The 23,133-nt window shown below is 39.1% G+C and overlaps 1 protein-coding gene across 3 annotated transcripts in view; it reads right to left on the bottom strand.

Moving 5' to 3' along the window:
* LYPD6 (LY6/PLAUR domain containing 6) overlaps positions 1 to 23,133 on the bottom strand; it is a 156,394-nt gene that overhangs the window by 132,025 nt on the left and 1,236 nt on the right. The window contains exon 1 of one of the 3 annotated variants that reach the window (XM_024452699.2): positions 1 to 23,133. This exon is cut by the window's left edge and continues 13,503 nt beyond it. The exons of the other annotated variants lie outside the window; for them this stretch is intronic. The gene's annotated coding sequence lies outside the window, so the exon portion shown is untranslated. 3 annotated transcript variants of the gene reach the window in all.

The raw sequence follows: 23,133 nt of genomic DNA, 5'->3' as shown, positions 1-23,133 counted from the left end.
CACCTGTAATCCCAGCTACTCAGGAGGCTGAGGCAGGAGAATTGCTTCAACTCAGGAGACAGAAGTTGCCGTGAGCTGAGATCGTGACACTGCACTCCAGCCTGGGTCACAGAGCAAGACTCCATCTTGGAGGGAAAAAAATGGCTATAGGAAGGAAGCCACCAAAATGGCCTGAACTAACAGGGGCAGCCTCTACAGCCACCATCATCACTGCTCCCACCTCTCATGCCTTATCCACCAGTACAACCCAATGCGGGAGGAAGGACAGGTGAATCTGGGAGGAGACAAACACAGGATCTTCTGTTTGTATCTTTCTGACACCAGACCCTATCACTAGTTATATGTTCTCATGCCAGACTTCACACACTGCTAAATTCACACTCAGTTTTCTGAGTGAAGTTTCAGCCCCTGAATGGAAGGCAGAACCACCCTTTTGTGGCTCCTCATTAACAAGTGATCTTTGTTACAGGCCCACTGTTTCCACCATCATCTCTCTGGTGCCAGAAAGATTTGATTTAATTTACAAGCTGGAGAGTCAGAGAAAAGAGCCTTAAAAAGGTTTCAAGGTGGAATTTTTTTTTTTAATGAGCACATTTATGTTGTTATGAGCCAAGTTCAAAATTCAAGTCACATATGAACAAATTTTATAGGGGGAGGAGTAACCTGATGTTCAAATTCATTTGCCTTCCATTTTCAAGTAATTCATCTTTAAAATTTCTGTGAAAATTCTAGAGTTGCCCAGAAAATGACACCGACCATCTGTAAGTAAAAACAAAAGCTCTCCATAGTATATATCACAGGTTCAAAGCACTTTGGCATCGGCAGATTGAACACGTTATTAAAGGAATTTAACTGCAAGAAGAGCTACCATAATTACACAGCAGCTGGTCTAATGTTGACAAAACAACTTTTAAAGGCTTGCAGAAGCCTTAAAGGCTAATCAATTAAAAAGGCATGAATAGTAATGTGCATCATCCTATCCTTAACACTCCGAGTTGCATCTCCTACAAATACAGTGAGGTTTTCGTTTTGGAACCATCATTTCTTACATCCTACAATTAAGCAGAATATATAAATAAATTCTAAGTTGTCTCTAGGTGAGACAATTATACTTAAAATAAAATAACTCTGTAAAACTCAATGATAAACATTGAACTTCACGAGCATTTTCACTCTGGCAAAGTTAGTAACAAAATGCCAACAGCTCATGCCAGAATTTGTGCTTACTTTACCAAGAGCAGGCCAAGAAGTGTTTGTAGATGACTACATTGGCCTGCAATATGCTGGAGTCACAATGCATGAATGAATGCATGGATGCTGGAATGAGTCTGTACACTGCATTCAAGGACCAGAGATGCAGTCCTCTTGAGATCTGCTCAAGTGTTCCATGTGGACAGGCCTCCTCTGCCAGGACCAGCAAGCGTTTTCTTTTAAGGCCCAACCGAAAGTTCACATCTTGCAAGAAACCTTCTTCAGACTTCCCACAAGGCTTTTGTCTTCTTTTCTGAATCCCTTACAACCAGAAAATTAAAAAGGATTTTACATATCTCTAAATCCAATCCTATGTAGGGCCCAGCAAACTTTTTCTATAAAGGGCCAGATAACAAATATTTTAGGCTTTGAGGGACAAGTGATCTCTGTCCCAATTACACACTTTTACCATTGTAGTGCAAAACCAACCATGCAGGATACGTACACAAATGGGCAATGGCTGAGTTCTAACAAAACTTCATTTACAAAAGGAGGTAGCCACCCAGATTTGACTGACCCCTGCTCTACCAGTATGAATCCCCTTTCCCAGCCAGTAGGCAAGGTCTCTTTGTGAACACCTCCGATGAAGGGGGATAACCTCCTCACAGCAGCCTGTTGTGTTTTCTGAAGCTCTCCCTTCTATTCACTGGAATGAACTTCCCTGTAACTTGCAGCCACTGTCACATCTCCATATCCTGAACATGCTGTCCTCTCCTAAATCATTCTCTCTCCCCAGAGTACTCTACATAAATAGGCCTTCAAAAATCATTTTTTTAATTAAAAAGAAATACCACCAGTTTTGCCTTCCGGAGCCCCAGAGAGTAAGTCTAACACCTCTTCCACCTGCCAGCCCTTTATGCATTTGAAGACAACTATCGGATATGGCAGTTACTGTCTGCACCACTCATTGGGGATCTACCTTATAGCATTTTTTATCGTTAGTTTTCTTCTTCCATGTACACATTTTTTTCCTCCTCATTTAGATGGCAAGTGAAGCATGGTCCCTGGCACATAAGCTCCATTTAGTTTTACAAGTGAGAGTGGCAGAATGTCCACAGAAATATCAACCAACAAATCTTTTTAAACACCTTTCTCAGCAAATTCAACTGGGACAGCTTCTGATACTGGCGCAGGGCAGGGGCAGCTCACCACAGCAGCAGTAAGACTGTGGCCAACTTCTTCAGTGTAAAAACTGACCACCGAGAGACAAAAGACCTCCTTTATCCTGCACCACCTACCATGCTCCCGGAGTGTGATTTTAACCAGGACTTCCATAACAGCAACATCCTTCTGGAGAATCCTGGGGTGGGGCCCAGCGCCTGTCTTTGTCACACACTCAGCCCTTCCTTGGCTTACAGTGACCCAATCTTCATCATTTTTATGTCCTGTGCTATCTATGCCTTTCTTTAATAACCCCCTTCCTGGAACAATACATACACATTTTGTATTTACGTGAAGGTGCATGGTAGACCTTCAATAATCCACTTTTAAATTTTTAAAATAATAATCTAGAGAATATTCCTTATGAACACGCAATCTTCCTCCAGGTATGAAATTTGGTTCTTCACAGAATTCTCACTTTCAAGACACCAGCAAGATCAGTATGTACTAATGCTGCCTCTAACATCTACGGCCCAGGATAATTCTCAGTCAGTAATAAAATACTCAAATAGGCTTGTTTTCTTTCTTTTTTTTTTTTTTTTTTTTTTTAGATGGAGTCTCACTCTGTCACCCAGGCTGGAGTGCAGTGGCATGATCTCAGCTCAATGCAACCTCCACCTCCCAGGTTCAAGGGATTCTCATGCCTCAGCCTCCCGAGTAGCTGGGATTGCAGGTGTGCACCACCACACCCATTTAATTTTTGTATTTTTATTAGACGCAGGGTTTCACCATGTTGGCCAAGTTGGTCTCGAACTTCTGGCTTCAAGTGATCCACCTGTACGGTCTCCCAAAGTGCTGGGATTACAGGCGTGAGCCACCATACCCAGCCTAGGCTATTTTTTAAAATATCTCTGTGAGAAAAAGGTCTTTAAGACCATAAAAATGACCTCACCTCATCTAATGTCATTCTGCTTTTCCTTATTCCTTCTCCCCACTTCTGGGAAGGACAAGAGGGAGGCATTTCAAAAAGTCCTGTATACCGTCCAGTTCCTGGAAATAAGCAGGGGTGCCATGTCCCTGTGTGAAAGATCTGCCTGTGGACACTCACCAGGATGGCAGAAAGGCCCCGGCAAGGGTAGTGTGGGCATCTGTCCACTCTGTGCTCCAGAAAGCCCAAGATGAATTGTTAGCTTTGGCTGGGCAGTCACTATTTTATTTACAGAATAAAAACAAGTGCACAGGAGACACTAACTACATGTGGCTACTTGCATTTAATTAAAATGAAATCAACTTAAAATTCGTTCCTCAACTGTACTAACCACACTTCAAGTACTCAGTAGCCAGTATGGGTAGCATCTACCCACGTATTGGAAAGTACATACATAGAATATTCCTGTCACCAAGAATAGGATAGAAAATTCTACTGGACAGCACTAGAGAGTCCACAGGGTTTCTTTATAAACCCCTTTGCCACTAACTGCTTACTACTCTCCAGCCAACACCTGCAGGATTCAAGGGACACAGATAAACTGTCAAGTCCTGCAGGAGTTGTACTCTGAACCTCCTTGAAACCCAAAGAACAAATGGGCATATGGAATGTCACACCTGGTTATGCCAAACAATTAACACCACATTATTTTAAAGGCATTCTTTAAGGAAAATGAACAACGAAATGTATAATTTGCTCTTACTTCAGAGAGTTCTGCCAAAGTCCTTAGCTTTTGCAACTCCATGAAAACCTTTGACAGAATAAAAACAATACCTGATTCTTACATAGATTCTAGGAAAAAGTGGGGAGAGGGGACAAAAGGCACAATGTCTCTAACCATTTGTTCTGAAGCTGGCATCCTTTGTATTCTTTTATGAGGTTCATTTTTGCTTTGTTACTTTGTATCAAAAAGGAATGCAGGGTTGTTGATTTTTTTCCTTTTTAAAAATGTAACCCCAAAGTTGCTGGGAAAGCGTTAAAATACTCATGCACCTTAGATTTATCACCAGGCAAGTAAAGTTATTCAATAATCTGCCTCTAGGTAACATAGCATATATATTTTTTTTTCAGGTTTAATGAAATTGCCATCTCTCTAAAATCTAAGAACAAGAGAAAGTTGCTAATAAATTTTAAATTTCTCATATAGTTACTTTGGAGCATGAAATTATAAGAGGAACTAAATTCAAATTCCAGGCTGCTTTTTGAAAGACAAGATGACCTCCTGATAGTCTATAAAGTCTGTGAAACATGTTTTGATAACATATGTACTTAAAATTCCCCACATGTCAGTTTCAAGTTACTACAAAATATAAGGCAGCACCAGCTGCAAGGGTAAGGAGGAAAAGCTGTTAGCAAAGTATTGGGAAATGTTAAAAAATTTAATGGGACCCAAGTCTCTTTATCATTTGCATATCATGATCCTTGGAAACAGACTGAACAAAATCTTCAAGTATTACCGCTTCCACACATGAGAAAATCCCATCATGACTTTGGTGTGTTTTCCCTTACTACCTCATATTGCACTGTGTTTAATTCTGGTAACTTTTAACCAAAATGCCCTCTCCTCATTTTCTCTAACCCTCCAAATCCTAACCACTTGCAAGGACCAGTCCAAGTCCCACACTTTTCATGAAAGTTGCTTCAGTTTTCTAGCCCACAAATTCCTACTTCTCTCTGTACCTACAGCAAATAATAATGGAGCACACAACTGCAACTTCATTGTCTTCACTCTGTCTCTGACAGACTGATCTCATCTCCTCACTCTCGAGGATTTGCTCCCCTTTTATGGCTTTTACTGAGATCATGAAGCTCCCATCATTACATCTTCAGCCCAGATGTCTCCCCTGAATTAATATTCATATTCCCAACCTCCTACTCCATTTCTCCATTTAGAAGCCTAATAGGTGTCTCAAATCTAAGGTGTGCACACCTGACATGATCCTCTTCCAAATCTGTTACTCTTCAGTCTTTGTATCTCAGTAAATGACAGCCCCACCCTTCCAGTTATCAGGTCCCAAACCTTAGAAGCATGCTTGACACTGCTTTCTCACTTATACTCCACATCCTATCCTTCTGAGATCCTCTCCTCCACTCTTTCCAAATAGACAAAGAATGCCCTTTTTCAGCATCTCCACTGCAACCACCCAGATCTAAGCCAACACCTGGACTGCTACAACAGCCTCTTATTTAGTCTCCCTCTTTCCAACCTTGCCTTCCTATATTTATTCTCACAGTAACCAGTGATCTTTAAAATCATTTAATCAGGTCATTCCTCAGTGCAGAATTTTCTAATGGCTCCCCAACTCACAAAGAAGGAAGGAAGAGAGTGGGGGAAGAATCAACATAGTGTGATAACCTCTAAGGCTTTGCATGTTGGACAGCCTGCCCTGTACATCTTTGACTTTTTACTACACTCCCCCTGGCTTGCTCTACCTGCCTTCTTGGAGGGCAAGCCAGGCATGAGGCCATCACAGCACTTTTGCATTTCTGCCTGGAGGGCTCTTCCCACAGAGGTCCTCAGGGCTCTCTCCCTTAGCTGGTCCAGGTGCTCATGTGATACCTTCACAGTGGAGTCATCCATGACAACCACAGTTAAAGGTACCAGCTGCCTCCCACCCACCCCTGTACTTCCTCTCCCCTTCCTCGCTTTAGTTTCTCCATAGCACTTACCACCGCCTAACATACTGCACATTTCTTATTTATTTCCTTATTTTCTGCCTCTATTCCTGTAGAATGTAAGCTCTACCAGGACAGGAATTTTTTGTGGTTTTTGTTCACTGCTTTATCCCTAGAGACTTTTATCCATTTCATTTATTATTGTATTTCCACCCAGAACTATGATTGGCACAAGTTGGCCCTTGGGTATTTAAAGAGAGAGACAGGGAGAGAAGCCAAGTTCCATGAGAACAGTTGCTGTGTCTTCCACTCTTTTTTTTTTTTTTTTTTTTTTTTGTATTTTTAGTAGAGTCAGGGTTTCGCAATGTTGGCCAGACTGGTCTTGAACTCCTGACCTCAGGTGATCCACCTGCCTCGGCCTCCCAAAATGCTGGGATTACAGGCTTGAGCCACCACGCCCAGCTCCACTCTATTTTTTAATATCCCTGGGTAGGGCCCAGAAAAAAAGTACTTGTTGCCTGACAGTTGCTATGCTTGCATTGGCAAATATAAAATATTAGGTCATTTAAATAGTTGGACATGTTAAATATAGACAGTGTTCATGCAATTAAAAGATGTAACTATTTTTTAAAGATTTCAAAGCTATTTAAACTTAAGCTCATAATCTCTGTTCAAGTATGAACAATTCTCAAAATCACCAATAAGAGATAGTTTCTTAAGTGCTGCCAAAAAAATGACACAAATACCCACTCAAAAAATATGAAAAAGGAATCTGTCATTTTGGGGATAAAATTACAGCAAATAAAATTTCAATCCAGACCCCAAAATAAGTAACTTGAATTCTTTTTCCTTTAGGTTGATTCTTAAAATAAACAAGCGCTTTAACAAATCAATTCCATTTTGTCAAGTGATGATGTTGGCCATGGCTTTGGTCAAATTGTTAGGGAATTGGGGAAAATAGGGGGAACGCCAGAGAGAGATGAGGAGCCTGTTCCCTGCCCAACCTAAAAAAGAATGATACGTACCATAAAATGAATGTTTGTGTCCCCCAAAATTCATACACTGAAACCCTAAACCCCAATGTGATGCGACAGTATTTGGAGATGGGACCTTTGGGAGATCATGATGGTGGGGCTCTCTTGAATAGCATTAGTGCTCTTAATGAGACATAGAAGAACTTGCTTCTCTCTCTTCTCTCTTCTTCCTCCACCTCCTCCTCCTCTTTCTCTTCTTCTTCTCTCTCTCGCCCTCTCTTCTCTCACCTTCCCCTCCAACCCCACCCCATGTAAGAATACAGTAAGAAGGCCACCATCTGCAAGTCACCAGACACCAGACCTGCCAGCACCTTGACCTCTGACTGCCAAGCTTCCAGAATTGTGAGAAAAACAACTAGTTTTTAGGCAGGGCGCAGTGGCTCACGCCTGTAATTCCAGAACTTTGGGAGGCCAAGGCGGGCGGATCATAAGGTGAAGAGATCAAGACCATCCTGGCCAACATGGTGAAACCCCGTCTCTACTAAAAATACAAAAATTAGCTGGGCGTGGTGGCACTTGCCTGTAGTCCCAGCTACTTGGGAGGCTGAGGCAGGAGAACCGCTAGAACCCGGGAGGCGGAGGTTGCAGTGAGCCGAGATCACGCCACTGCACTCCAGCCTGGGTGACAGAGCAAGACTCCGTCTCAAAAAACAAAAAACAAAACTAGTTTTTAATAACAGAGACTTACTAGTCAGTAAGTCTGAGAAGTGCCTGGAAAGCCTCAATCTTTCTACACATCTAGAGTGTTACCTATAAAACATCAACAATTATCTACAGAACAAATGCAAACTAAGTTCTTTTTCACACAAGATGACTTGAAGGTTATGTAGAAGACTTTATGGAAATCCTCCATCCATAAAATGTTTGAGCATTCCCGAGGGGAAATGCTGTAACATGCCAAAACAAACCCTACCAAGTGGTTTTATGGCACTTATGTTCAGTCCCATAAAGAGCAACTCAGTCCTACGTGAGAGGACTCAGGTCTCTCCCAAGTTCATTGAGCTGCTGCAGTACAGAACCAATTGCACAGACACATGTGTTCAGCTTTGTGAAATCTGTGTAAAAACTTTTATGTACAATAATTTTAACTTTATGCATTTTTTTAAATAGAAAAACAAACATTAAATACGAATTAACATCAAGTTTGTGAGTTACAAAAAAAAATATTTTTTAACTGTTTTTAAAAAATAGTATTAGATGCCAGGCAGTGGCTACATTACTGGAATAAAAGTGGTGACAATTATAATAAGCACTTATCATTAACAATTTATTCATTTATTCAAGAAACACTGATCAAGTAGGGAGAGTCTGCTCATCAAATATCTACTTGACATCTATTCTCTGCCAGGGCTTGAGACTAGTAAACTAAGGCATCATTTATATGTTCAGGAGAATAGTAAAGGTGGCCTCTAAAAATGGAAGAGTTTAATTCAAAAACTGGAGCACGGTGCAGTTTGGAAGCCTCACTAAGGCAACTCAAGGAGGCTACAGACCTACGAGACCTCAGAGCAAAGCTAATATTGTTAATATATCTTTTATATATTTGAGAAAAATACAGTTATCAGTTGTCTGCCAAATTTCAAAATGCAATTTGGAGTTTTAAAATATACATAATCAAATGCACACAACAAATTCCAATTTTTTAAACAAGACAAGGAAAACTAAATAGAAATATTAATGTTTCATCAGAGGTAAGCTTGAATTCAAATACCAGAAAATTTGACAAATATTCTTAAAAATTTAAATTAAGGCCGGGTGCGTTGGCTCCCACCTGTAATCCCAGCACTTTGGGAGGCCGAGGTGGGTGGATCACAATGTCAGGAGATCAAAACTGTCCTGGCTAACATGGTGAAACCCTGTCTCTACTAAAAAATACAAAAAAAAAAAAAAATAGCCAGGTGTGGTGGCAGGTGCCTGTAGTCCCAGCTACTCGGGAGGCTGAGGCCAGGGAATGGCATGAACCCAGGAGGCAGAGCTTGCAGTGACCTGAGATCGCGCCACTGCACTCCAGCCTGGGCAACAAAGCGAGGCTCCGTCTCAAAAAAAAAAAAAAAAAATTTAAATTAAGGGTGGACCATAGACAATCAAACCAAACACATAGCCTACAGTAAGATGTCTGCTATAGATTACCTGTAGGTTACCTGTAGATATTCAGATCATTTTACTTTCAGAGAATTCACGACATGCAACAATAAGTATATGAAAAATAGTCAGTGTGAATCCTTACTCTTTATTCATTCTTTTTTCAGAGATGGGGTCGGGGGGTGTCTCAGTGAGAATCCTTACTCTCTTTTTATTTTTTTTAAAGATGGAGTCTCACTGTGTTGCTCAGGCTAGAATGCAATGACTATTTACAGGTGCAGTCACAGCACACTGCAGCCCCAAACTCCTGGACTCAATCCATACTCCTGCCTCAGCCTGCCAAGTAGGTGGACTATAGGCACAAGACACTATGCCTGCCTCTTTCTCTTTCTGACTCAAGAGATTACAGATGACCACCTTGTATTCCCTCACTTTAAAAAACATCTGGAAGAGGAGCTATTTTTGTAGGAGGAGGTCTAATTCAGACACAGCCATCCTACATCCTGGATGTCTATACCTTCCTCCACTCCCGCACCCACTCCCACAAAGCACTTCAGCTTTTACCTGCTCCTCATCAAGTCAAGGGTGAATCTGGTGCAGAAGCCAAATAAAAAATCCAAGATTGGTGTTGGTAAGGCAAGGGGTGATAAACATCTTTTGTAATTCTAAAGATGAAGGGAAGAATAGCGCACATTTTCTATATATTCAGTATTCATCTTTTCATCTTTATGTTACAGCTCTATGATTAATTGCCCTGCTTTGCTTAGAAACGCCTCTGTCGGAATAAAACCTGGGTCTTTTGTAAATTATTCTTTTCTGAAATATTATCCCCTCTATTAGTATAAATGTTTCAATATTTTTATTAGGATATTGGGCAGGGTGTACAGCACTTGGGGAATTTATTGTTTGCTTTTTGACTGCCTTTGACTTAATGTAGTCTAAAATATAAAAATAAAAGGGAAAAGTGCATAGCTTGCAGATTTGCACTATCTCAACATGCACTTCTCTTAAAGTAGATGCAGAGATTTTCTAACAGAGTACATTGTTGATCAAATGGTTTACACACAACACAAAAACAGTTCTAGGTAAGAGGCAAGGGGGCTGGCTAGGAAAGAAATAGGAGGAGAGACAAACTAATTGTACATTCACAGAATTTAAAACATAGAAGGACGTCAGACACCAGATAGTCCAATATTTTGTGTTCAGAAAACACTGACCCTCAAGATGAACCCTCAAAATGAGTATCACTGTCAAATAGGTCTGGGAATCACTGAATATTATATATCACACCTTCTTTCAGATATATAGAGTGAACATTCAGTTACTAAATGTTCTAAAAGTCCTGCAACTCAAAAAACAAAAACATTTTTAATCCACTGTTTTTTTTTTCCTGTAATATCCCACAGAACCAGTGTTTTTCCTTACAGGTCCTCCTTTGGAAGTGCTGATCTTAAGCAATCATTTTGAGGAAACTGAAGTTCAAAGAAGTTACCTGGCTTGGCCTAAAACCTACCACTAATTGGTGGTTGATAATTCAGCAAACAGCATGATGAGAGTTTAGATGAAAGTGGGAAACAAGCAAAGATCTCAACATCTTTCCTTTCCACCCACATCTTACAAGGAAAAAGTTACCTCCTCTATTTCCCCATCTCAGTCCCCTTGCTTGGACTCATATTCCCCCAGCTTTCACTTGCCTACTGGAAGAGTATGTTACCCAGCTTAGATTCATTCATTAACGAGCATGATTTTCCCTTCAGGGAAGGCTTTTAACAGTGATCTTCTAAGGCTGAATCAATGACTTGCCAAAGGAGTGGCTTTGAAGCTGGGAGTGGCAGAAATTTGGAAGATAATTTAAGGCAGATGGATGTTTGTCATTCTCCTCAAATTTGTTCATTTTAGGGATTTCTCTGATAGGACAGGAATCAGATAGGATCGAAAAGTTTTTTTTTAATCTATTATAAAGTAGATGATACTTTCTTTATTAAAAGTTCTTTAGCTCCTTCTTCTCTGCCCACTCTTCCTTTCCATTTTCCATGTTCGATCTTATTCAGTACACTGCTTCTCCGGAAGAGATCTGAAACACACATGCAATGCCAGAACTGCCCAGAAGCTATAGGAAATGAGTCTGCTTGCTTCTCTACAAGACGTCTTGTAGACGCTATGGCACTGGACCTTTCTTGAATTTGCATGTCCTAGCTGAAAACTGTCTCCTCTAGCACAGATCTCTCCTAAATAGTTCCCAACTGAGAAGAAAGTACCATTATAGACAGTACATGTCTTTAAAATGCTATTCTATCTATGAAATGCAGTGCCCTTCATTGAGAAAGTTGAGCCTCCAAATAGCTTTGGTGAGAAAAATTTTTTTGTACCATGTTGATTTTTGCTTGCCTGGTTCACCTTACCAAAGAATAACAACATTGGCAACAGGAGGAGTTCAAACCTGAGTCATTTATCAGGACTGTGGGGAGCTGATGCTGATCTGGCCACCTCTCACCTGGTGCTCCTTAAAACAACATTTTAAGCCAGTTGGCTGTGATTCTAATCTATGGGAATGAACAGAAAGAACACTGGCCGTTAGAGATTAAACAGATCTGGCCTTGTCTATTTCTTTGTTTAAAAAATACCAGCCCTAACTATGCACATTATTCCCTCCCACAAATAGGAGGCCACATGGGAGACTACTGATGAAAGAGTTTTTCAGTAGCATAGAAGAACAGTGTACATCTTTATACATAGTAAATTTGCTATATTGGCCTCTGGTTTACTCTAGGAAGATAAGGATCAAATACATTCAACATATGCTGTATCCATAACTAGGTAGCCACCATGTGACACAGAGAAAAAGAATATCATTAAAATAATAAAGAAATTACACACGAATAATTAAATCTGTGTGATAAAATGGGGAATGATTATTTTCTTCCTTAAACTTTTGTATATTTTAAAAATAGAAATTACCCACTGATATGGTTTGGGTGTTGTATCCCATCCAAATCTCATGTTGAAATGTGATCCCAAGTGTTGAAGGTGGGGCCTAGCATTTGGGTCATGGGGGCATATCCTTCATTAATAGTTTTGTGCCTTCCCCAGGGTAAGGGTAAAAATATCATACCTAACTTTCCAAAGTCCTAGGTCATGGGCAACTCAGGGCTTAGAGTCTGTTTTGTGAATACCCTCAATACCTAAAAGGTATTCATTATAAGGACACAGCAGCAGAGTAGAGTCTCTAAGAAGAATGTGTATAGCTTGTGGTATTCATTTGTTCTTCCTGGACATCCAGGGACCAAAATTAGGTAACAGTTTGTCATATAATGCAAAACCTATCCCTTCCATCTAAACCAATCTGCTATGGTTTCCCTGTGATCCCTCCAAAATTCAGGTGTGGTCATGTGACAGTATTAAGAGATGGAACTTTCAAGAGGTGATTATGCATGAAGGCTCCTCCCTCGCAAATGGGATTAGGGCCTTATAGAAGAGACTTCTTCACATGGCCTTAACTCACTTGCTCTTCTGTCTTTCCCTGTGTGAGGACACAGCAACAAAGTGCCATCTTAGAAGCAGAGAGACTGTGCCCTCACCAGCTGGTGCCTTGATCTTGGACTTCTCAGCCTCAGATGTGTGAGAAATAAATTTTTGTTTGATATAAATTTCCCAGTCTCAGGTATTTTGTTATAGTAGCACAACGAGTCTAAGATGCAATCCTTTGTGATTCCCCCCAGATCTTTACAGCTTTTCTCTATGAAAGGCATTATTCTATTAAGCATATTGACTGAGGGCTTACTCTATGCAAAACATTATGTTCATGTTGGCATCCATGAGAAATAAGACTAAAAATACAGGTAACAAGAGAATGTAGAGAATGTAACAAAGAATATGTTACTACAAAATACAGGTATACGTAAAAGAGCAAAATTTACACTGATGAGGGAATCAGGAGAAAAGGCATCTTTGGGGAGGCTGCATTGAACTAGGCTTTGAAGGATGAGAAGCATTGTAAATTGTGGAATAATGGATGGAAGGACACCCCTGACCAAGGACACACCTGACTGAGAAAAAGGCACAACTGCTGCAAACTTTTTGTGAATTCACTCGGGTAGTTCTTTTAATTCAGATCGGGAATCTGAATTAAAAGAACTCAACAAAAGAAAATTCTCCTATGAAGTTATACATAAAAGAAAAACCATGTACTTCTAATACCATTCCTTTGATCTTCCATGAAAAGCCACTATATAAACGCAGGATATTACTTCTATTAAAGTCAGTATTTTTAAATGGCAATATTTTTAGAACACTTGAAAGTGAATTTTTTTCTCCAAGATTGAAAATTTTCTAAGAAATTAAATGTATTCCACATGGCGAGTCAAAGAACAGTGAAGATCTACATAGCAAGAAAATATATTCTGGGGGGATGTGCTACACCTTTTAAATTATTTATTAGAGGTCTCATGTTCTTAGAAGACAAGAATTCTTGAATGTTTATTTATTTTAGTCTATATACCAATATTATGCCACACTTTCAGTTAATCAAAGCAATTTTATTAGATCAGCATTAATGGGTAATTTTAAATGTCAAAAACTATATGTTGGTTCCTACACATCTGGGAATTTAGTAAAGCCTTTTGATTTGTACAGCTGAAGCAAATGATGCCCAGTGGGTGACCTACTGGCTAAAGGTCAGCCAGCTAGTTAATGGTGTAGCCGGTAAAATTGGAGGAAACTAAATAACTTGCCCAAGGTCACACAGGTAGCAACTGGTGGAGGCAGAATTACACTACAGGAGAGCCCAGACCTCCAACCTTCCCTCTACATTGCCTCTCTGCCAATGGAAAATTAACATAATCTCTCACAAGCAGGTAGAGTCCTGTGGATGAAAAACCATGTAAGTAAAAGTAGAGGGTAATAAATGCTGTTATTATAAGTGCAAGTAAATGATTATATTATCTAAAGTTCTGTAACAGCATAAAAGAACTAGTATTTCTAGATATCTTGATAGAAATTTAAGTAACATGTACATCTGGGCTAATATGTTATACTACAAGGCACTAAAAATTGTGCTTAAAATAACCTTTATCTCTCCTGCTTTTTTAGGTCATAAAAATATTAAATATTTTTTGAAAATGTTTACCCAAAATCCTACTACAAAAACACACTAACTGCATTGTTATTTAATCACCTGGAATGCTTAAATATACTTTTTTTGGTAGTTCAAGTAGCAATAATGATTTCCAAAAGAAAAGGCAGAAATAGTAGGACAATCCTGGGTTTACGAATTCCTTTATCTATGGCTGAGAACAAGTCATAACTGCTGCAAAAGTTGTTGTGAATTCATTCGGTTAGGTGATCAGGAATCTGAATTAAAAGAATTCAATAAAAATTCTAGCAAAAGATGAAGATTTTACACCCAATACTTTCGTTTTGCCTAACAATCCATTATGTGGTAATTACTCACGCATACACCTAAACACTTTTGAACCTATTTTTAATTTTACTTTGCATCCTCTTGTCCAGAGAATAAGGATGAGCAGGGGGGAATGCAGGACAGGAGGTAGGGGTATTACATAGTCTGACCTCATTGCTTTCTGTCTAAAATCCCTTGTTTTCAGATATCAACAGATGTATTCTAGTTCTAGTTTTTAATTTTTGTGAAAAATAATGCAAATTCACTCTACTTGTAACTGTGCATGAGAATTTGACTTTGGGTATCTGTCTAGCTGTTTTATTGTAGCAACCTGATAAGAGTAAAAACGTCATAGTAACAAGTTACAGCTATGACTGTAATTGGTAGGCTGGTTGAAAACTAAAATTACCTGATAGGACACCATGCTTGGGGCTTCCCTGAGGGCCATGATTCTGGAAACTGGGCACATCCCTATGAGACCTTGGAAGCTTTGTCTATGGAGTTACAAGAGATATCAACTCCTAGGGGAATGAGGCTTCTAAGCCACGATGGCTCCAGAACCTGTCCAATATAGATCTCATCTCTTCACACCTGAGCCGTGGACCATTTCAAGAACTCCCTCAAAGAGAAGCACCTGATGGCAAGCAGGAGTTCCTGCCCTATGGCCTTCTGGTTATACGTAGTCTTTGGGTTGGTCTGTGTTAGTCTTGGAGTCGGATTAGTTAAAGAAGACTCTCTAGCAGGCAGTGACCTTCATAATGTATACACTAGGCTCCTATCCCTTGAGTCTTTATCTTCCAAGCCAGAGTTCTATTTACATTCTGTCGTCAGAAAATAGCTACTTCCCCTAAGTCCTCACTCAAAGTCCTGGGCACTGGCTTGACCATGTTATTGCTCTTATCCAATTCCTCCCTATCTGTCTTTCTTGAAAATGACAATAAGGGTTGCATGTTGTAACATATATACCAGATTTTATGTAAAAACAACATAAAATTTTCTGTTCTTCTGCCAAGACTCCTGCTGACAATACCAGGGATATTACTGAATAATCTGACTACAGTGCCTTATTAAGCTAATATTGGAGAACAATCTACAATGACTCCTAGATCCCTTCTGGGGATCAGGTGTTAATATTTGTCTTAGTCCATCAGGCTGCTATAATAAAATGCCTTAGCCGGGGTAATTTATAAATAACAGAATTTTATTGCTCACAGTCCTGAAGGCTGAGAAGTCCAAGATGACAATACCAGCAGATCTGGTGTCTGGTGAGGGCTCATTCTCTGCCTCATGGATGGCACCTTGTTGCTGTGTCCTCACATGGCAGAAGAAACAAGGGAGCTCCTTTCAACCTCTTTTATAAAGGCACTAATCCCACTCATGAGGGCTCTGTCCAAAAGGCCCCACCTTTTGATACTATTACATTGGGGATTATGTTCCAACACATAATTTTGGAGGTATGCCACTATTCAGACCACAGTAATATTCAATTGTTAATATTTAATAGTTTGTGGTATAAACCACTCTTTAAAAGATTCTAGCTTATCAAGAAGGGTCAGCCAAAAAATAAAAGATGCTGACATGGTTGCAGAGAAAAGGGAACTCTTATACACTGCTGGTGGAATTGTAAATTAGATCAGCCACTGTGGAAAGCAGTTTGGCAATTTCTCAAAGAACTTAAAACAGAATTACCACTTGACCCAGCAATCCCATTATTGGGTATATACCCAAAGGAATACAAATTGTTCTACATAAAAACACATGAATGTGTATGTTCGTTGCAACACTATCCATAATAGCAAATACATGGAATCAACCTAAATGCAAATACATGGAATCAACCTAAATGCTCATCAACAGTAAACTGGATTAAAAAAAATGTGGTACATATACACCACGGAATACTATGCAGCCATAAAAATGAGATCACGTACTTTGCAGCAACATGGATGAAGCTGGAGGCCATTATCCTAAGTGAACTAATCCAAGAACAGAAAACCTAATACCACATGCTCTTATAAGTGAGAGCTAAACATTGAGAACACGTGGACACAAAGAAGAGAACAACAAACACTGGGGTCTACTTGAGGGTAAAGGGTGGGAAGAGAGTGAGGAATGAAAAATTACCTATTGAGAACTATGCTTATTTCCTGGGTGAGGAAATAATCTGTACACCAAATCCCTGTGACATGCAATTTACCTATCTAACAAACCTGTGTATGTACCCCTGAACCTAAAATATAAGTTTTTTTTTTAAAGGGGGCCAGAGCTAACTGGGATTATATACACTGGTGTCCACAGTGGGAGAAAAAGATGATGAACCCAAGCCAAAGGCTGAAAGAGAGACAAAATCCAGAGCCAAGGAAAGAAACAAAACACCAGCCCCAAAGCACAAAACCAACTGAAATGAGAGATGGATGCAAGTGGCAGGAGCTGGATCAAAACTTGAGAATAAGCCAGAGGATCCCAGATGACCAGCACAAACCACTTTTGTGGCCCAGGGGTCATATAATACAAAGACTGCCAGGATAACTTACAGAGAAACAAACTAAAACGTGAGTGAATCATATGACCTCAGAGGATACAATGGGCCCTAGAAACTCTTATTTCAAATTTCTACATGCTTATCAGAGTTTTTAATCCTATCATTCAATTCAAAACATTCCAACGTATTTACTGGGAGAGTCTTCTGTGCTAGACACCAAGGCAAGCACTACACAGTCAGAAAGGAAAGAAACAGATTCGGTGCCTGTCCTCATAGCGCTTACAGTCTAGAAAGAAATCAGCAATGCTTCTATAACTTTGTTCTTCAAATCCTGAGTTATGGATTTGAATGTAAAATCCATTGAATGTAAAAACGAAATCTTTTTACATTTCCTAGTTCTATTTTAAAAAGCACATCAACCACATTTTTTCCTAACACCAAACACACACACACACACACACACACACACACACGTTATTTCAACATGCTGCCCTTTTTACATGGGGAATTCAGAGGGGAGAAAAAGGCAAAAAAATTTTCAACTACAGATTTTCAGAAGACATAGAAATAATAATCAAATGAGCTTTCTTTCTATTAACACTACATGAAACCTGAGGTTATAATACTAAATCTTATTTTCATAATGTTTTGTCTTATAAGAATATGTGTTTAATCTAGAAAATTTGGAGAACACAGGTAAAAGAAGATAATAAAAATCACTTCCAATCCCATATTACTTAGAGAGAGTCACTGTTAATATTTTGATGTATTTCTTTCCACACAGATGAACAAATAGAGAGGGTTTATTTATATAAACTTATTCAGCCATATATATTTTTAAAATAGCATCACATTAATACAGAGTTTTATAACCTACACTTTTTCTAACACTGACTTTAACTTGGTGGACACATGTGTTTTAGAGAGCTGAGAGACTACTAGCCAGCTATGCTATCTGCTGATGGGAACAGAATTTAAAACTATCTCCTATAAATGTTCTTGGGATTGCTTTTTCCAAGTACACTTATCTTCAATCTTCCATTTTGACTTTAATCTTCTATTATTTTTCTTCCTATTTAGATGATCTTTTAAGTTATTTCTATAGTTCAACTTTAGCAGCTTGGTTTTTACTTACCGTAAGAACTGCATATCACCCATAAGCATTTACAAAAGTGTTAAATTAGACCATCCCCAAACTACTTCCTGGAAGAGGCTATTTGTCCACTCAGAGATATACCTATTGATCTCCATTTTTTGTTTTTTGTTTCCTTAGCCAATTTCCCATTCATAAGAAAAGGTCATGAATGAGGAGGGAACTGGAATCGGAAACCTGGTTAGGCTTTCTGAAACATTAAAATATATTTCCTGCAACACTTGGCAACAAACATATAGTCATGTATCACTGAACAATGGAGATATGTTCTGAGAGAGCCATCTTAGGTGATTTTGTCACTGTGTGAACATCACAGAGTATATTTACACAAGCCTAGATGTATAGCCTACTACACACCTAAGTTATATGGTATAGCCTTTTGTTCCTAGGCTACAAACCTCTGCAGTATGTTACTGCACTAAATACTACAGGCAACTGTAACACAATAGTAAGTATGTGTGTATCTAAACATAGAAAAGGTACCATAAAAATACGGTATAAAAGAAAAAAGATACACCTATATAGGGCACGTACCATGAATGGAGCTTGCAGGACTGTAAGTTGCTCTGGGTGAGTGAGTGAGTGGCAAGTGAGTGAGTGGGAAGTAGAAGTGAAGGCTGAGGACGTTACTGTAGACTACTGTAGGTTTTATAAATACTACATTTAGGCTACCCTAAATTTACTTTAACATTTTTTCTTTCTTCAATGATAAATTAACCTTAGTTTACTGTAATTTTTTTATTTTACAAACTTTTATATGTTTTAACTTTTTGATTCCTTTGTAATAACACTTAGCTTAAAACACAAACACATGGTACAAACTTATTTTCTTCAAATCCTTATTCTGTAAGCTTTTTTTCTATTAAATGAAAACATGTTTTAAAATTTTTTGTTAAAAACTAAGACATAAGCACACACATTAGGCTGGGCCTATACGGGATTACGATCATCAATATCACTGTCTTCCACCACCACATCTTGTCCCACTGGAAGGTCTTCAGGGGCAATAACACGCATGGAGCTGACATCTCCTATGATAACAATGCTTTCTTCTGGAATACCTCCTGAAGGACCTGCCTGAGGCTGTTTACAGTTCACTTTAAAAAAAAAAATAAGTAGGAGTTCTCTCTAAGATAATGATAAATTGCATTAACAGTAAATACATAAATCAGTAACATAGGTGTTTAATATCATTCTCAAGTAGTATGTACTGTACATAATTGTACGTGCTATACTCTTCTAAGACTGGTAACACAGTAAGTGTGTTTACACAAGCATTACCACAGGTAAGTAATGTGTTGTGCCACGACATCACCACAGCTAAGATGTCACTAGGTGATAGGAATTTTTCAGCTCCACTATACTCGTATGGGACCACCATCATATAAGCAGTGCATTCTTGACCCAAACATTGTTATGAGGTGCATGACTGTATTTTCCTTTTTTAACTCTAATACGTCAATCCCCCTTCTTCAGAAAAAAAAAAAAAAAATCGTTACTTGCTGTAATCTGTGTTTACTTTGAATATCCATCTCCCAATCATCCACAGGGACACGGGTCTGGTTTCTTGGCCCCCAGTCCTTCTGGAAACCCCTCCCCTGACTGGAGCCCCCAAGGACACCAGTCAATCCCCCAGCAATACCCCAGATTGCTGTCACGTACACACCAGGCTTCTTCAATATACTTAGGTGAAGGCCATCTAGTCTTGGTGATTTATCTGTAATTAGTCTGCTGATTAGGTCTGGAATATCCTCAGCACTTGCCACTTCTTGATCTATTACCTCCAATGTGTGTATTGCTTGAGAAAGCCTGGGTGTAGGAATATTACTCAGCAAAAACAGAAGCAAAGAATTCATTTACACGCTGTTTTATCTCTTTTTATCTCCCAGTACATGTTTGGTATGATGAAAGATGAGTAGTTCCACAATCCTTATTTCACAGTATTTAAGGGACTTTCATTATCGTTTTGGAAATCCATTGCAAGGATTTTTTTTTAACAAATTCACTTTTGGTTATCCCATTTCTAGTATGCCTGGGATCTGTTGCCCTTCATAAGGTCAATTTAATAAACTGACCCTTCAAATTTTCCTTTTTCATTACATGTATCCAGGTAAGCTTTCTTTTTCTTTTCTTTACTTTCCCTATGTGTTTTCACTATGAGTTTAGTGTTTTACAGAGCTTGGGTACAAGACTTGTTTTTCTTATCACTTTTGGGTTTCTATAAGGTAATTCGTATGCTTCCCACTTTCTTATGGGTAAATTAAGTATTTCTTTTCATTTCTTCCCTAACATATCAGCATTGAATTCCCTTTTAGAGACTGATTATACTCTTGATGTCCTTCTTTGGAGTCCCCTCTTCCATTAGAAGACTTAATTGAATTGAAACACATATCATTCATCATTACATGCTGCAATCTGTGTTACATCTGGTAGGCACTCTGAACAGTTCCTGAAAGAATGTATGATACCAACAGCTAACAATAACGGGGCATTTGGTAGGTGTAAGGTCCCATCCCAAGCATTTTAAATGCATTGTGTCATTAGATTTCAGGCACCAGACGGTAAACTTCATTAGCAAGGAGTTTGCACATGTATCCCTAGCATCTAGAGCAGAGCTGGTACCTAATAGGCAATTGCTGAATATTTGCTGCATGAATAAATTTTAAAAACTGCATGAGGTAGGTGCATTATTCATGCTTTACACATAAGAAAACTAAAGCACAGAGAAGTTCTATCATTTTTTGAAGTCCCACAGTTAGTGTATGTGAAGACAAGACTTGAATCCAAAGCCCACATACTTAACCAAGACTTACTAGTAGTAAGCTCAACACTTAACCACGTTATTGCAAATGAGATTAATCTCATTAATAAATAGTATGCAATGACACAAGTAAATATTGTAAGCAATCATTTTCCAAGAAAAGATTTGCAGATGATGAGCCCTTAAAAAATAATCAGATAGGCAGATATCTGTACGCTTCTTATTGCTAGCTTTGCAAGTAAAAATATGATTTCTCTCTAACCAATGTCTTCTGCTACATTTGTACACTAGTCAATGAGGATTTCAGGACTTTTGATAAGTGGGTGCTTTTTGTGTTTCCAGAGTAGTTCTGATTTTATTTAAGTCATCTATTTTGTCAATTCTTTTTAAAATAAGAATAGCACTAATGAGATATTCATTTATTATTTCTATTGTTAATCGTCTACAGAGCTTATAAGGAGTGTGTTTATAAAATAGGAGACTTACATATTTCTCACACATCTCTCCTACTGTTACTTGTCTTTCTGAAACATTACAATTAGGACATCATCCTTTAGGGGTTTGATTATATGTACCTTTAACAACTCATTAGCAAAAATAACGTATCTCTTTGAAAAGGGTAGCTCTTTAAAACTATTCCTAGTTTTCACCTTAATTCTTTATCAGCCCTCACCTTAGTGGGAGCTAAATGATATTGAGCAGACAGCAAAGCCTTTTGGGGATGATTCACAATGGTCCCTCAAGCTATGGGTTAAACAGTAAAAAGAGGTGCAGAAATCAGAAGTAGGTAAACAACAAAGAAGTAGGTAAACACCAAAAAGGAAGGAAGGAAGGGAACGGGTGAGGTAGGAAAGAATTTGAAAAACACTTGACTGAACTCTGCTATTGATCTTGGAAAAGTCAATCTTTGAAAGCCTCAGTTGTTTCATCTGTGAAATGGGGATGATAAAGATATGATTTCCTCAGACACTTTAATAGTAGATTTCAATATGCCATATAAACTATCCAGTATGATACAACACATGGTATGGTTTTTTACTTGATATTATTTGCCTAGAATCAGCCCGATTTATGCATTATGTACTATAAACATTCACCTTACAAAGACTGTCAACAGCTTGAGAGTGTAGCTTCATCAATTGTCTGTCTTAATTGGTCTGGAAGCATTTCCATTATTTCTAACTCAAGGAACCATTTCACAATTTTTAACAAGCTTTGTGTGCCTACAAGCTCAGAAAGCTTACTGTGTGCTCTCAGGACTAGAGTTCTATAAACCTCTATTTAAACAAGGAAGCCTCTTTTAAGTCTTATTTCAGTCTGGTGCCTTTGGTCGAGGTGGAAACTAAAATTGAAAACAGATAGATGTTTTACATTTAAATGGGTTTAACATAAATGTGCATTAACCCATTTCATGGGCGATTGCACAAATACCTTTTGCAAACTTGGTACACGTGAGCGCATATACAGTAACCATTAATGTCTTCTAGAGAAATAAGGTGCAGATCCAAAATTTTAAACAGCTAGCTCGAGTTCCTCTCACTCGAAAGAAAATGTAATGGCTTTAAGGGAATTGCTCTAATAATATCATGGCATCTGCAATGGCTGGCCAGAGCAGAGCAGAACAGTGTGTATGTCACCGCAAGTCAATTTAACAAGAAATAAGCTTCCCCCTGGAGAATCTAAACTCCCTTGCCTCCCACAAAGAAAATTGAATTTTGGAGGTCACACCTTGGGTAGGTTACCATAGAAAGAAGCTTAACATTCTTTTTGTCATATGCTCTGGGAGGTCAATGCTGTTCTTCCAACAAGTGACTACCAAAGACCCTCTTCCATTCCCCCCCACCCAATTCTCTCCCCCGATCCCATTATAACAAGTCTTTGGAGTCCTCTAGGAAACGGGATGTGATTGTGACACTTGAAAATGCCAAGGACCACACCGAAGGCAATCATGCTCAAACACCAAGTTTTGAGCCCCGCAGTGAGGAGCAGGGCAGATACTGGGGCGGGAGAGGGGACTGGAGGAGGGCAGCGGTAGAGATAGTGAGGATATGGTGGGGGTCAGAGCGAGTCAGACCGTCAGATAGTGAGCTTTAGGTTGTAACTGAACGCTTAGCCAAATGTGAATCAACGGAACTGCTGTTACCGGAGAGAAAAACAGGTCGCCAAGTCAAGCCCAGGCCAAATCCCAACTCTGTGGGTGGATGGTCCCTTCCCTGGGTTGTCGGGGTGGATGGCTGAAAGGCCTAGCGTGGTCTTGCAGCGGCGGG

The sequence above is a fragment of the Homo sapiens genome, chromosome 2 (genome assembly GCF_000001405.40).
Source record: "Homo sapiens chromosome 2, GRCh38.p14 Primary Assembly".
NCBI classification, from domain to species: domain Eukaryota; kingdom Metazoa; phylum Chordata; class Mammalia; order Primates; family Hominidae; genus Homo; species Homo sapiens.
This window is presented reverse-complemented; position numbering and strand designations above follow the sequence as displayed.